Raw genomic sequence first — 13,583 nt, forward strand, 5'->3', positions numbered from 1 at the left:
GGGGAAAGGCCCCGGCTTTGAGTGCACATTCTCAACAGGCTTGTGGCCGCTAGTGTCCTGCCGGATGACCCACTTCCTGCCGGAAGTGCACAGATCTCTGGAACCTCTCTTGGAGCTCTGTTTTCTGTCTGAGCATCCGGGGGCCCTGCCTGCCTACCCCCTGCGCCATGGTTGGAGCTCTGGTGGCAGTGAGCTGGGCAGCCACGGGCTCCCTCACAGACTCGCCTCTCAGGGGCACGGTCCTTCCCTGCCTGGTGTCTGGTGTCTTGACAACCATGGTCATAGGTTTTGACTGTTTTGTTTTACTCTTCTGGTTCTTTTAGGTGGGAAGGTAAACCTGTTCTGGTCTGTATCACCCCATTGTTTCAGGAGTGCGGTTGCTCACCAGTTGTAGGCCAGGCTTGTCGTAACTCAGCCAACTTCAGAAAGGCTGGGCGTTTGAACAGTCCCAGAGTGGAAGGATCTTATGTGAACTGGAAGCTCTCAAAAATGTAATTCTGGGCGGGGGGTGGGGGGGGCGCGTGGTGGCAGATCACTTGAGGTCAGGAGTTTGAGACCAGCCTGGGCAACATGGTGAAACCCCGACTCTACTAAAAATACAAAATGATGAGCTGGGCCTGGTAGCATGAGCCTGTTATCCCAGCTACTGGGGAGGCTAAGGCACGAGAATCGCTTGAACCCCAGAGGCAGAGGTTGCAGTGAACCAAGATCGTGCCAACTGCATTCCAGCCTGGGTGACGGAGTGAGACTCCGCCTCTAAAAAAAAATAAAAAATGTAATTCTGGTTATAAAATCATAAATCATTCTGATAAAGGAAAAAGAAAAGAGGCCCCTAAGCAAGCAGCCTTTTGTTCAAGGAGCTCTGAAATGTATGGAGGAGGGAAGCCAGAAACAAAGAGCAGAGGGGTGGAGGAGCCCAAGAGCAGCAGAGGCTCTTCAGGAAATCCACTGAGGCCTACACACGGAGTTCGCTTTTAGTTTTCTCTTTTAGAAGTCAAGGGAACAGTGAAGCCCATGCCGGGGGCTGGCCGTTTGTGGATGAAGATGCTGGAGACCAGGCCACTCGGTTTCTGTTCTGCTTTTTTCTTCGCCTTCACTGAGCTGGAAGGGTTGACGGTGCTGCACGGTGTGGAGTTGGGAGGGGGACTGCGTGAGAGCACAAGGGTGTCTCAGAAGAGCCCGCGTCCTTCTCTCTTGGGGGTGACCCTGCCTACCTGCAGAGCCAGTCCCTGGGATGTGGCGGCGGCCCTGCGCCCTCGGAGGGAGGCGGGGCAGAGCTCAAATGGAAGCAGAGCCTGCGGGGTGGAGACCGCACCCCTGCAGGGGTCTGCCTTGGGCCCCGAGCCTCCTCAGCCGCCGCAGCAAAGCGGTCAGTCAGGCGGGGCTTGGTTTATGGCATCTGGGAAGATCGCTGACCATTCCCGAGGGGAAGGAGGCTGCAGCCGGCGCTCCCAGACACCAGCAGAGCAGAACACACTTCAGGAACGTGAAACGCTCACGTGCTTTTAATCCAGCAATCCTGCCTCTGAGGATGCATCCTTGAGAAATAATGTAGAAAATGAAAAGCACTAAAATATTTGCTGGCATTGTATTCCAGAAATATACCAACAGACATAAACCAAGTGTTCAGTAAAGGAAAGGTCCGGAAGCTGAGTGACTGTGGGGGAAGGGTCCGGAGGCGGTTCCGATGCCGCCCTGTGTGGACCGTCGGTGATGGGTCCGGAGGCGGTTCCGATGCCGCCCTGTGTGGACCGTCGGTGATGGGTCCGGAGGTGGTTCCGATGCCGCCCTGTGTGGACCGTCGGTGATGGGTCCGGAGGCGGTTCCGATGCTGCCCCTCGTGGACTGTGGGTGATGGGTCCGGAGGCGGTTCCGATGCCGCCCCGTGTGGACCGTCGGTGATGGGTCCGGAGGCGGTTCGGATGCCGCCCTGTGTGGACCGTCGGTGATGGGTCCGGAGGCGGTTCCGATGCTGCCCCTCGTGGACTGTGGGTGATGGGTCCGGAGGCGGTTCCGATGCCGCCCCGTGTGGACCGTCGGTGATGGGTCCGGAGGCGGTTCCGATGCCGCCCCGCGTGGACCGTCGGTGATGGGTCCGGAGGCGGTTCCGATGCCGCCCTGCGTGAAAGGCGCTCCTCGCACGGCGCCAACTGGAGGAGGCCTCAGTACCTGGGAGCCTCTGGTGATGACGAAGGGTCAGGGACAGGTGGGCATCAGGCTTAGGAAACAGCGTGGGCGTGTTCCTCATTCCGTTTATCGCTGTTTTATCCCTGGGGCGATAGAGTTAGGGATACTTCATTGTTCTGATTTATATTCTTGGCTGCCTGGCAGAGTTGAACATTTTCTTATGTTTACCGTTCATCTTTTTCTTACCTACGTTTTTTATTTTCTTCTCCTTTGCACATATTTTTTCAGAATTACAGTGTTCTAATTTACTGTGTGATTATAAATCATCTATATTTTACATGTGGCACAAGTATTTCTCCAAATTTTATTTGTTTTATTTAAAAGAGGCCTTTTTTAAAGTAAAATTTTTTGTTTTTTTTTTTGAGACAGAGTTTCGCTCTTGTTGCCTAGGCTGGAGTGCAGTGGCACGTTCTCGGCTCACTGTAACCCTCTGCCTCCCGGGTTCAAGCAATTCTCCTGCCTCAGCCTCGCAAGTAGCTGGGATTACAGGTGCCCACCACCACGCCCGGCTCATTTTTTGTATTTTTAGTAGAAACGGGGTTTCACCATGTTGGCCAGGCTGGTCTCGAACTCCTGACCTCAGGTGATCTACCTGCCTTTGCCTCCCAAAATGCTGGGATTACAGGCGTGAGCCACCATGCCCGGCCCAAAATTTTAATTTAATCAAATTTGCACGTCCTTTTTTCAAATCTTTCAAAAGCATTATCCTATCCTATGACTATACCCCTGCTTGGAAATGAATATAATTTTTAAAAATACATGAAAGAAAAGTGCCTCCAAGTGTTAATATGTTGAGTGTAGGTTGATATAATTCTGGATGACCTTTTCCCTATTTTTATTCTTTACTGTGATTATGCTACTTTTATAATTATGTTATTTTTACAATGAAACAAACAAAACATGAAACGAAGTGCCTTCCAGAGTTGAGATGGGCGCTAGGTTCCCATCCGGTGACCTGTGGCACCCTTTCCACCTGGCCCTGCTGCGGACGGCCACGCATGCTCCAGAGCCTCTCCCCGGGCACATGGGCTGCAGCTGCTGTGGCCCAGCCCCAGCACTGTGAGCCAGCAGGAAGCCTGCACTGAGCTCTGGCTTGTGTCTGTTCAGGAGGAGAACATTTGCCTGCACTGGGCGGCGTTCTCCGGCTGCGTGGACATAGCCGAGATCCTGCTGGCTGCCAAGTGCGACCTCCACGCCGTGAACATCCACGGAGACTCGCCACTGCACATTGCCGCCCGGGAGAACCGCTACGACTGTGTCGTGTGAGTGCAGTGCTTCCCCCAGCGCGGGCTGGCGCTGACCTGACCTGGGCGCCCAGAGAGACCGCTTGACAGTCTTGTGTTCACACTTGGGGCGTGAGTGGACACAGGCCCTCTGTTCCTTCGTGTGGAAGTCCATCCTTGGTGTTCCACACGCAGAGAAGTGTCTTTCCCAGTCCACGTTTGAGATCAGCTGTGGTTTATTTCTGGGTTAGGGAGGATTGTCATGAAAAAATTCCCAAGTTGGAGTCTCAGACCTGATACTCCTCACATGGCTGAGGGGCAGCATGGGAACAGCCCTGCTCCCAGCAGGGACCTGCCAGCTCAGAGTCCCCGAGAGGCTCAGGGTGCCTTCTGGGAGCAGTGCCACCCACAGCCAGGGCTGGAGTTGCTGGGGGCTGTGGCACTCGCCACTCAGGGCCCTTTTAAAACTTGAGACCTTCAGCTGGGTGGTGGTGGCTCACGCCTGTAATCCCAGCACTTTGGGAGGCTGAGGCAGGCAGATCACCTGAGGTCAGGAGTTTGAGACTAGCCTGGCCAACATGGTGAAACCCCATCTCTACTAAAATACAAAAATTAGCCGGCCATGGTGGCATGTGCCTGTAACCCCAGCTACTCCAGAGGCTGAGGCAGGCGAATCGCTTGAACCCAGGAGGCAAGAGATTGCAGTGAGTGGAGATTGCGACGCTACACTCCAACCTGGGCGACAGAGTGAGATTCTGTCTCAAAAAAAACCCAAAAAACAAAAAAAGCTTGAGACCTTGATCCCATAAAGTCATCCACACTCAGGTTGTTGTTGGTGGCCTGGGATGGAGTGTGTGTTTGGCTGCTGGGGAAGGACAGGGAACTGTGGGTGCTCCAGGCACCAGCCTCCAGTGACTCCCTGGCCCCTACACATGGGGCTGTGCCCTCCCACATGTGGATCTCACGGTGGCTCAGCCAGGTTGGTCATCTGGTTGTGTGAAGCCCAGCTCCACGTACGATGACTGCAGTCTGGATGCAGTGAGCAGGAGTGGAACTGAGGACTGCTCACGCTGTGCGTGGCCCAAGCTTGGCCTCTCTCCCTCCTTGCTTCCCTTCTTATCCTTGAGGGTAAATTTGAATGAAAAATCCAAGAAAAATCAAATGCCGCCCTGGATTTTACACTCTTCCTGCTAAGAAAACAGCCTGCTGACTTTGACAGTGAATGTGGGAGAGGAGGAAGGGAATCATGTTCCTGGGTGAGCTAAAGCCCGTCTTTGCAGAGTCATTGCTGAGCAGACTTGTTCAAGTTATCTCACAGTGAATAGTGTTCCCTTTATTGTTAGTGATGACGGACATTTTATAAATCTCATCTGTATCACATTTTCAAGTCAGCTTTAAATGTTTTGTGGCCTTACATTTTCCCTTTTAGCCTCTTTCTTTCTCGGGATTCAGATGTCACCTTAAAGAACAAGGAAGGAGAGACGCCCCTGCAGTGTGCGAGCCTCAACTCTCAGGTGTGGAGCGCTCTGCAGATGAGCAAGGCTCTGCAGGACTCGGCCCCCGACAGGCCCAGCCCCGTGGAGAGGATAGTGAGCAGGTGAGCCCAGCCCCAGGACGGCTTTGTGGCAAATCAGCGGTCAGCAGGGCTTTGGGAACTTGCGGTGAAAGCTGCTCCTGAAGCCGAAACATCCCCAGGCTGCAGTCCAAATTGTCAGGGCCAGGTGTTTGCCAGCCGCCCCACTGCACGCTGTGCCACCCCCTGGGCAGAGCACGTCAGCCACCAGGTGACACCTGTCCTTTCCATGGCAGGGACATCGCTCGAGGCTACGAGCGCATCCCCATCCCCTGTGTCAACGCCGTGGACAGCGAGCCATGCCCCAGCAACTACAAGTACGTCTCTCAGAACTGCGTGACGTCCCCCATGAACATCGACAGAAATATCACTCATCTGCAGGTGAGTGACGGCAGATGAAGGGCTGACTCAGGCCAGGACATGGGACAGGCAGAAGCTTCTTGAGCCTGGGGTCCTGGGTTCTCACCACTCAGAGCAGGAGGGCTTATGGGGGGCTTCCCAGGAAGACCTCATTCTCTTTGTAGTTGCCTCCCGTGAAAGAGCTGGAAGGCAGATAAAGGTTCTGTCAGGCCCAGCCCTGGGCCCTCTCATTGCTCTTCCAAGGCTTCTTACCGACCCAAAGCAGTGGCAGGCATCTTTGTGCCTTTTTTGTAACCTCACACTCAGGGGCCCCGGTGTGGCTTCGTGCTGGGGGCACAGGCGAGAGGAGCCCTTGCGAGGCCTGCAGGACGACCTGGATCCCTGCACCTCCCAGCCCCCGGAGAGATGGGTCCAGCACATGCCAGCTTTCCCAGCCTCCGAGTGCATGCAGCCTGGTGCCCTCACTGCTTGCGCCTTCTCGAGCACTTTCCTTGTGGCTCTGCTTGTGGGCAGCTCCCTCCTCTTCCCAGGCCGGGCACTGCCCAGGCCCCCCCCCCCCCCCGCCCCCCGCCCCACAAGGTGTGTCAGGCTCTGTGTTCTTGCCTTTCCCATCGAGCATCTGGCCACAAATGCAGCCGCCGCCCAGCCCTTCACCCACCCCACGTCACCCACTGCCGCGTCGCTGCCCTGCCTGCCCCCTGTCCCTCTGTCAGGGTCCTCAGCCAGAGCTCCCTCCCACAGGCACTCGACATGTTTCTGCCTGCACAGCCTTCTCCCTAAGAGGCCACACACTCACGTGGTGCCTTTGAGAAGCACTTACCAGAATCAGGGTTAACAGAACTGGAAGACGTAGTTGTGACTGGGAGGGGAAATGGAAGGCCTGTGCCTGCACGTCTGACCCCCCGGCGCCTCTCTTCTCAGTACTGCGTGTGCATCGACGACTGCTCCTCCAGCAACTGCATGTGCGGCCAGCTCAGCATGCGCTGCTGGTACGACAAGGTGAGGGCGGCCTCGTGTGCGTGGGCTCAGGTGGTAAGTGCCGCTGGTCCGGGTCTGCAAAAACAGTGCAGGCGTCTGTGACCCCAGCGCTGTCGTGGCAGCGTCGGGAAGGAGTTGGAGGTGAGCTGGGTGTGACAGGCAGGGGAGGCACAGCGGGCACCAGCACCCGAGTCAGGGTCGTGAGCCGAGGACATGGCTGCGGATTCCCTGGGGCTGGGGTCTGCATCCTTTGTGGCTGCCTGGATGGTGGCGGGGGTGGGCAGCGTCAGCCTGGCTTGGCCCCAGGAGGAGGTGCTGCTTATGTTGTGTGTATCTGGTAAGCTGTGCCTTGTGCTTGCTGAGTGTGAGGGGTGTGAAGAGGGAGGGTGCTGCCGGGCTGGGTACAGGGAGCATCAGTGTGGGCGCTGGGCTTGAGGAGACACAGGATTGGAAGTTTCTGTTGGGTGCTGGTCCTCGGAGGAGCCCAGGTTGGAGGCTGCTGAGGAGGAGACGGGAGTGGGGAGTAGCCCTGGCTAGCAGGGGTGCAATTCAGGGGAGGGATGTCTAAGCAGAGGCGGAGAGTTCCTGGTCTCCCGAGTTCAGAGGTCACGGTGGGGGCGGAAGCCAGCATGGCCTGGGTAAAGAGACGCGAGCAGGGAGAGGCAACAGGCGTCCCCTCTGGAAGCAGACTTTGGAGGAGAGTGGACATGGAGGGTCAAGTGTTTACCCATCTGAATTAGAGGCTCCAATGGGAAAAGGATTCGTGCCAGTGAGGGCTATGGAGATGGTACGCTCAGAAAGCCACCAAGCTCATGTCCGAGTGGTGTCTTTTCAGGTGGACAGTGTTGCTGAGGGGGCGCAGGAAGGAATGTTCTGAGGAGCGCCCTAATTGTTCAGAGCAGCCCCTGAAGCCGTCAAGCCAGAGTGTGCCTGGGCAGCCCTGGGCCCCGCGCCTCAGCTCACACAGCCCTGGGGGAGCATCTGCACCCAGTGCTGCTGTACCTGGCCTGGCTTCAGGGGGGTAGAAAGGGGAGCAGAGGGCTGGGTCCCTCCACAGTTGAGGATTTGCAAGGCAAGGAGGCCAGGAGTGCAGGAGGGTGCAGGAGGCCCCAACCAGCTGAAGAAAGCAGAGCAACCCAGGAGCTGGCAGCCTCGGTGAGGCTGGAGAAGCCCAGGCTGGGGGCTGGGAAGGCCCTGGGTGGACAGAAGCTGGCCCCAGGCTGGGCCTAGGGGAGCGCTCCAGGGGGTCTCCACAACCTGTGTGGGCATCTGGGTGGAGGCTTCTCATCCAAACCGTACACATGGAGTTTTTCCCTAGGTGGGTGTTCAAGTTTGGCCAGAAACCATCGTTTTTATGTCCGTTTAAGCCACACTGGGCACTTAGTAGAAATGGGTTGATGTCAGTTCAATTAAAGAGTGAGTAACCTCTGCTGGGCCCTTGCTGCTCATCTGTCCACAGGATGGCCGGCTCCTGCCAGAGTTCAACATGGCGGAGCCTCCCTTGATCTTCGAATGCAACCACGCGTGCTCCTGCTGGAGGAACTGCCGAAATCGCGTCGTACAGAATGGTCTCAGGTGAGAGGCAGCTTCCTGCCGGAGCCCCACATTCTGCTCGTATTAGCACGTATTAGCACGGAGGTCACCCCGACAGACAAGAACTTAACGTGTTTGGATGCACGCACATGTGTGTTTGCAGATAGAGCCGACAAGTTACCTGAGCCCTTTATCCTCTAGAAATGTCACTTGTGCCATAAATCACGAGTCATGCTTCCCCCAGCACAGACTTCGGCATGAGAGAAGGAGCAGGTTGTTGGGTCAGTCCAGCTAAAAGCAGAGGAACGGACTTGGCCTAAGAATTACCTTTGTTACCGAGTTCATGCGAACATTCTTCAACAGGTTAGGGCTGTCGTAGTTCTATTTTAATACTCCAGTCATTTTCTAAATATTCTCTGTTCTCTGGGCTTCCCTAACAGTGAGGTGATGTCCCAACGCTTCTCAGGCTGCGTGGACTCCTTGTTCCTGGGTTGCTCAGGACGCTCATGGAGTAAGGCTTGCCCAGCGCCCTTCCCCAGCTGGGCTTGGTCCCCTGACCGCCCAGCAGCTGCGTCTCCTTTCCCTGGATTCTGGTCTTGAGCATTTCCTCCGCAAATGTGCCCGAGATTGGAGAAGTCAAAGCTCCTCTGAGTCATAAGGGAAAGTTATGCACACTTAAATTTAGCTGAACACTCATTTTTATAGTATTGACTTTTTTGTGACCTCGATAAACTTGGTTCATGGTGAAAGGCAGTCTCTGTCCTTGGTATGGTAGAAAGGCCTGGTGGTGAGGACCCACGCCAGACAGACGCGAGGCAGACACGGGACACATGCCAGATGGGCAGACGCGAGGCACGTGGTTCTGAGGGCTCCTCAGAGGCCCACATGCCAGGACCGCCCAGCCGCCCTCCTCCAGATCTACCCGGCCACCCTCCCCCAGGCCTGCCCAACCACCTTCCCCCAGCCCTGAGAAACCCTCGACCGCCACCTCCCCTGCCACCCTCCCCCAGCCCTGAGGGGCCTGTGGGCTCCTTGTCGGGAGCAGGCTGGGCTGCAGGTGTCACCACAGCCTGGTCCAGCTATAGGCTTCTCTAGTATTAGCACCTCTGCCCCTCACAGTGCCTAGTGGCCCAGGCCCAGCTCTGTCCCCATGTTACAGATGGGGACACCGAGCCACGGCCAGGACCAGTGACTTGCCGAGGTTGTGGGCTGGGGTGCTCCTGGCTGATCCCCGGGTTCTTGGCTCCCTGAGAGTGCGAGATGCCGTGTCTGTGAGGTGCCTGCAGCATCGAACGCTTCGGATACAGAACCAGTTTTCTTCCTCATTTCAGTGACGTGGCACCAGCTGGCTTTTGCTGACCATTGTGGCAACAGGCTGAGGCTGTGGCCTGGGTTCACCACTACTCTCTATTTTTCAGGGCAAGGCTGCAGCTCTACCGGACGCGGGACATGGGCTGGGGCGTGCGGTCCCTGCAGGACATCCCACCAGGCACCTTTGTCTGCGAGTGAGTGAGTCCCTGGGTCACCCCAAGCCTGGTGTCATTTCTGGGACGGAGGCCCATCTGTGTCTGTACTTCAGGAAGCCCCTCTGGGAGCAGGCACATCCCTGGCGTACAGCAGCGTGGGGTGGGGGCCACAGAGACCCTGGCCCCGAGAACCAAGCTCGTGCTGTCCTCAGTCCTCTTGCTGCTGCCCGTAACCAGCCCAGGAGTGCATTTAAGAAGGCGTGGTCCAGTTAGGAAGGCGTGGTCCAGTTAGGAAGGCGTGGTCCAGCATGGGCAGTCATCTCTAGGGGAGGACCATTCTGGGTTCTCAGGTACCAGACCGCAGACGCAGAGCTTTCGGTATCGTTATCATCATCCTCCGGACCCTCAGCTGAAACCCCAGTTCAACCCTGGGCACACCTCTCTAAACATGTTCCCTGCATGTTCTTCTGGTGTGCCCTGCTCTTTCCCTGTGGCTGCGGAGTCTGGGCTGTGCTTGTCTGTGGGCAGTGCTCGCTGCCTTCCAGGGCCTCACCTGCACCGCACCCTCTGCAGGTATGTTGGGGAGCTGATTTCAGACTCAGAAGCCGACGTTCGAGAGGAAGATTCTTACCTCTTTGATCTCGACAATAAGGTAATGTGTTTTGTGGGGTTGGGGCCACGCAGAACTTGTGAACTGTAAAACCTGAATGTGTTTGTCCCAGTAGGGCTGGGATTCAGAAGAGAGCTCTTACTGTTGACAAGAGTGGGCTTGCTATAGACCTGCTGAGTGCCGCATTTGGAGCTGGCCTTGGTTCTGTGCCCTGCATGGATGGAGGGAGGGACCTCTGACTTGGGAGGTCCCTGAGCCTGTGCAGCCAACTGCCCCTTTCTTGTGAGAGTGGGCCTGAGACCCACCACTCCAGTCCTCCAAACCACAACTGAGAATCTTGGGTTGGGGCTTGGCAACCCCTGAGACTGCACAGAGGTGAAGGACGGGCGCCGTGTACCAAGACTGTAGAGAGGCTGAGGGGGGGCGCCATGTACCGAGACTGTAGAGAGGCCGACTGAGGGGCGCCGTGTACCGAGACCGTAGAGAGGCCGATTGAGGGGCGCCATGTACCGAGACCGTAGAGAGGCCGACTGAGGGGCGCCGTGTACCGAGACCGTAGAGAGGCCGACTGAGGGGCGCCGTGTACCGAGACCGTAGAGAGGCCGACTGAGGGGCGCCGTGTACCGAGACCGTAGAGAGGCCGATTGAGGGGCGCCGTGTACCGAGACTGTAGAGAGGCCGACTTAGGGGCGCCGTGTACCGAGACCGTAGAGAGGCCGACTGAGGGGCGCCATGTACCGAGACCGTAGAGAGGCCGACTGAGGGGCGCCGTGTACCGAGACCGTAGAGAGGCCGACTGAGGGGCGCCGTGTACCGAGACCGTAGAGAGGCCGACTGAGGGGCGCCGTGTACCGAGACCGTAGAGAGGCCGACTTAGGGGCGCCGTGTACCGAGACCGTAGAGAGGCCGATTGAGGGGCGCCGTGTACCGAGACCGTAGAGAGGCCGACTGAGGGGCGCCGTGTACCGAGACCGTAGAGAGGCCGATTGAGGGGCGCCGTGTACCGAGACCGTAGAGAGGCCGATTGAGGGGCGCCGTGTACCGAGACCGTAGAGAGGCCGATTGAGGGGCGCCGTGTACCGAGACCGTAGAGAGGCCGATTGAGGGGCGCCGTGTACCGAGACCGTAGAGAGGCCGACTGAGGGGCGCCGTGTACCGAGACCGTAGAGAGGCCGACTGAGGGGCGCCGTGTACCGAGACCGTAGAGAGGCCGACTGAGGGGCGCCGTGTACCGAGACCGTAGAGAGGCCGACTGAGGGGCGCCGTGTACCGAGACCGTAGAGAGGCCGACTGAGGGGCGCCGTGTACCGAGACCGTAGAGAGGCCGACTGAGGGGCGCCATGTACCGAGACCGTAGAGAGGCCGACTGAGGGGCGCCGTGTACCGAGACCGTAGAGAGGCCGACTTAGGGGCGCCGTGTACCGAGACCGTAGAGAGGCCGACTGAGGGGCGCCGTGTACCGAGACCGTAGAGAGGCCGACTGAGGGGCGCCGTGTACCGAGACTGTAGAGAGGCCGATTGAGGGGCGCCGTGTACCGAGACTGTAGAGAGGCTGAGGGGGGGGGCGCCGTGTGCCGAGACTGTAAAGAGGCTGAGGAGCGGCTGTGTGTTCTCGGTGACTGAGTGAAGCAGCAGTGAGCCTCCTGGATTGTGCACAGAGGCCAACAGACACGTCCCTTGTGTCCCCAGCCCACCCAATCCCCACTGCCCAGGCGCTAGAATCTTGTGTGGGAGAGAGCAGGGGCCACTCCGGGAGCCTGGTTTTGGGAGCTTTCTGAGGCTAGGGCAGTGGTGATTGACCCATCCCAGCCCTCATGTTCCCTTTACTGTAGCCTCGTTCCCATCATTGCTCTGGAATTCATCCATTGTCTATTTTAAAACCTCTTGAAACTTGCAGTAACTCCAAGCCAGTGGGGAAATAAAGGTTTTTCTCATCTCAAGCAGCAGCCACCAGACCACGGAATAAATCTTATACCTGGAGAATAGGGCACCAGGCAGCCGTCTTCATAGCAGTGGCCTCTGTGGACTGCCAACCTCAACCCCAGGCTCCGTCCCTGCAGCCACCTTCTAAGAAGTGACTGTTGGTGAAATGACTTGTGTTTCATAGAAGAGAAGCTGGGCTCTGGAAGGTCACAGTGTACAGGCATCTCCCTGTGCAGTGGGGCTGAGCTCTCAAGGGATGGCAACCTCCATGTGTGCATGCCGTGTGCAGAGTTGTGAGGCTCCTCTGCTGCGAACTGCCCATTCCAGCCTTGCTGTGGAACGACTCGCCTTCTGTGGGCTGGTGACACATATCCTCACAAAGGCTGTGTTGTCACTCGTGTGTGCCACAGATGTCGCCTTCTCTCTATGACTTTTTCATTTCCTAATGATGTCTAGGAGTGAACAGAAGTTCTTTTTTTTATTCTAGTTCAGTTTATCAGTCTTTTTCTAAATACTGGGTTTTCGTAATGTCTTAGTGATATTTTTTTGAAAACTTGAATATTTCCCAGAAACGGTCATGTTTGCTTTCACGTGGCTTCCATGTGTAGGTTGACAGCCGTTCTGTGTGTGATGTAAGATCAGACTCAAGGTTTATTTTTTTCCCATCTTGTTACCTGGCTGACTCAGCACTGCTTGTGGAGAAGATGTCTTTTCCCCAGTCAGCAGTGTGGCTCTTGTCATAGCTCAGTGTCCTCGTCCTATCAATCAGTCTGCTGACTGTTCTTGGCCTGGGCTGTGTTACCTTAATTATTTTAATTACTGTAGTTTACATCTTCTCACCTTAGAGGTTTGTTTTGTTTTGTTTTGTTTTGTTTTGAGACGGAGTCTCGCTCTGTCACCCAGGCTGGAGTGCCGTGGCGCGATCTCAGGTCACTGCAAGCTCCGCCTCCCAGGTTCACGCCATTCTCCTGTCTCAGCCTCCCGAGTAGCTGGGACTGCAGGTGCCCAGCACCACGCCCGGCTAACTTTTTGTATTTTTAGTAGAGACAGGGTTTCACCATGTTAGCGGGATGGTCTTGATCTCCTGACATCGTAATCTGCCTGCCTTGGCCTCCCAAAGTGCTGGGATTACAGGCGTGAGCCACTGTGCCTGGCTGCGCCCAGCTAAGTTTTGTAGTTTTAGTAGAGGTGGGGTTTCACCATCTTGGCCAGGATGGTCTCGATCTCCTGACCTCATGATCCACCTGCCTCGGCCTCCCAAAGTGCTGGGATTACAGGCATGAGCCACTGCGCCCGGCCTTTTTTTTTTTTTTTTTTTTTTTTTAAGAGACCAGGTCTTGCTGTGTTGCCCAGGCTGGAGTGCAGTGGCATAATCATAGCTCACTGCAGCCTTGAACTCCTGGGCTTAAGTGATCTTCCTGCCTTGACCTCCCAAGTAGGTAGGACTACAAGTGTGCACTACAATGCCCGGCTAATTTTTTTATTTTATTTTTATAGAGATGGAATCTCACTGTGTTGCCCAGGCTCGTCTCAAATTCCTAGCCTCAGGCAATCCTCCCACCTTGGCTTCCCAAAGCACTGGGATTGCAGGAGTGAGCCACTGTGCCCAGCTTCACCATAGAGTTTGTGTCTTGTTCTTTTTGGTCTTCATGTAAGTTCTGAAGTCAGCTTAACAAGTTCTACAGAAGCTCCTGTAGGGATTTGATTGGGATTGTATTAGACCTGTCAGT

General features: G+C 56.3%; 1 protein-coding gene across 27 annotated transcripts in view, besides 2 other annotated features; it reads left to right on the forward strand.

The window, feature by feature from the left end:
- Window positions 1-13,583, forward strand: part of EHMT1 (euchromatic histone lysine methyltransferase 1) — a 217,123-nt gene that overhangs the window by 189,162 nt on the left and 14,378 nt on the right. For all 27 annotated transcript variants that reach the window (XM_047423872.1, XM_047423875.1, XM_047423878.1 and 24 more), the window contains 7 exons: window positions 3,295-3,449; window positions 4,840-5,007; window positions 5,220-5,364; window positions 6,265-6,342; window positions 7,781-7,896; window positions 9,273-9,359; window positions 9,894-9,972. In XM_047423872.1, coding sequence (XP_047279828.1) covers window positions 3,295-3,449; window positions 4,840-5,007; window positions 5,220-5,364; window positions 6,265-6,342; window positions 7,781-7,896; window positions 9,273-9,359; window positions 9,894-9,972 — 828 coding nt within the window. The remainder of the gene's footprint in view (window positions 1-3,294; window positions 3,450-4,839; window positions 5,008-5,219; window positions 5,365-6,264; window positions 6,343-7,780; window positions 7,897-9,272; window positions 9,360-9,893; window positions 9,973-13,583) is intronic.
- Window positions 905-984: an enhancer, noted in NCBI's record as "active region_29370". NCBI's record gives its function as "activates an Ori minimal core promoter by ATAC-STARR-seq in GM12878 lymphoblastoid cells {active_cell/tissue: GM12878}" and the evidence as "EXISTENCE:reporter gene assay evidence [ECO:0000049][PMID:35858748]".
- Window positions 8,957-9,006: an enhancer, noted in NCBI's record as "active region_29371". NCBI's record gives its function as "activates an Ori minimal core promoter by ATAC-STARR-seq in GM12878 lymphoblastoid cells {active_cell/tissue: GM12878}" and the evidence as "EXISTENCE:reporter gene assay evidence [ECO:0000049][PMID:35858748]".

Source organism: Homo sapiens, chromosome 9 (assembly GCF_000001405.40).
Source record: "Homo sapiens chromosome 9, GRCh38.p14 Primary Assembly".
Taxonomy (NCBI): domain Eukaryota; kingdom Metazoa; phylum Chordata; class Mammalia; order Primates; family Hominidae; genus Homo; species Homo sapiens.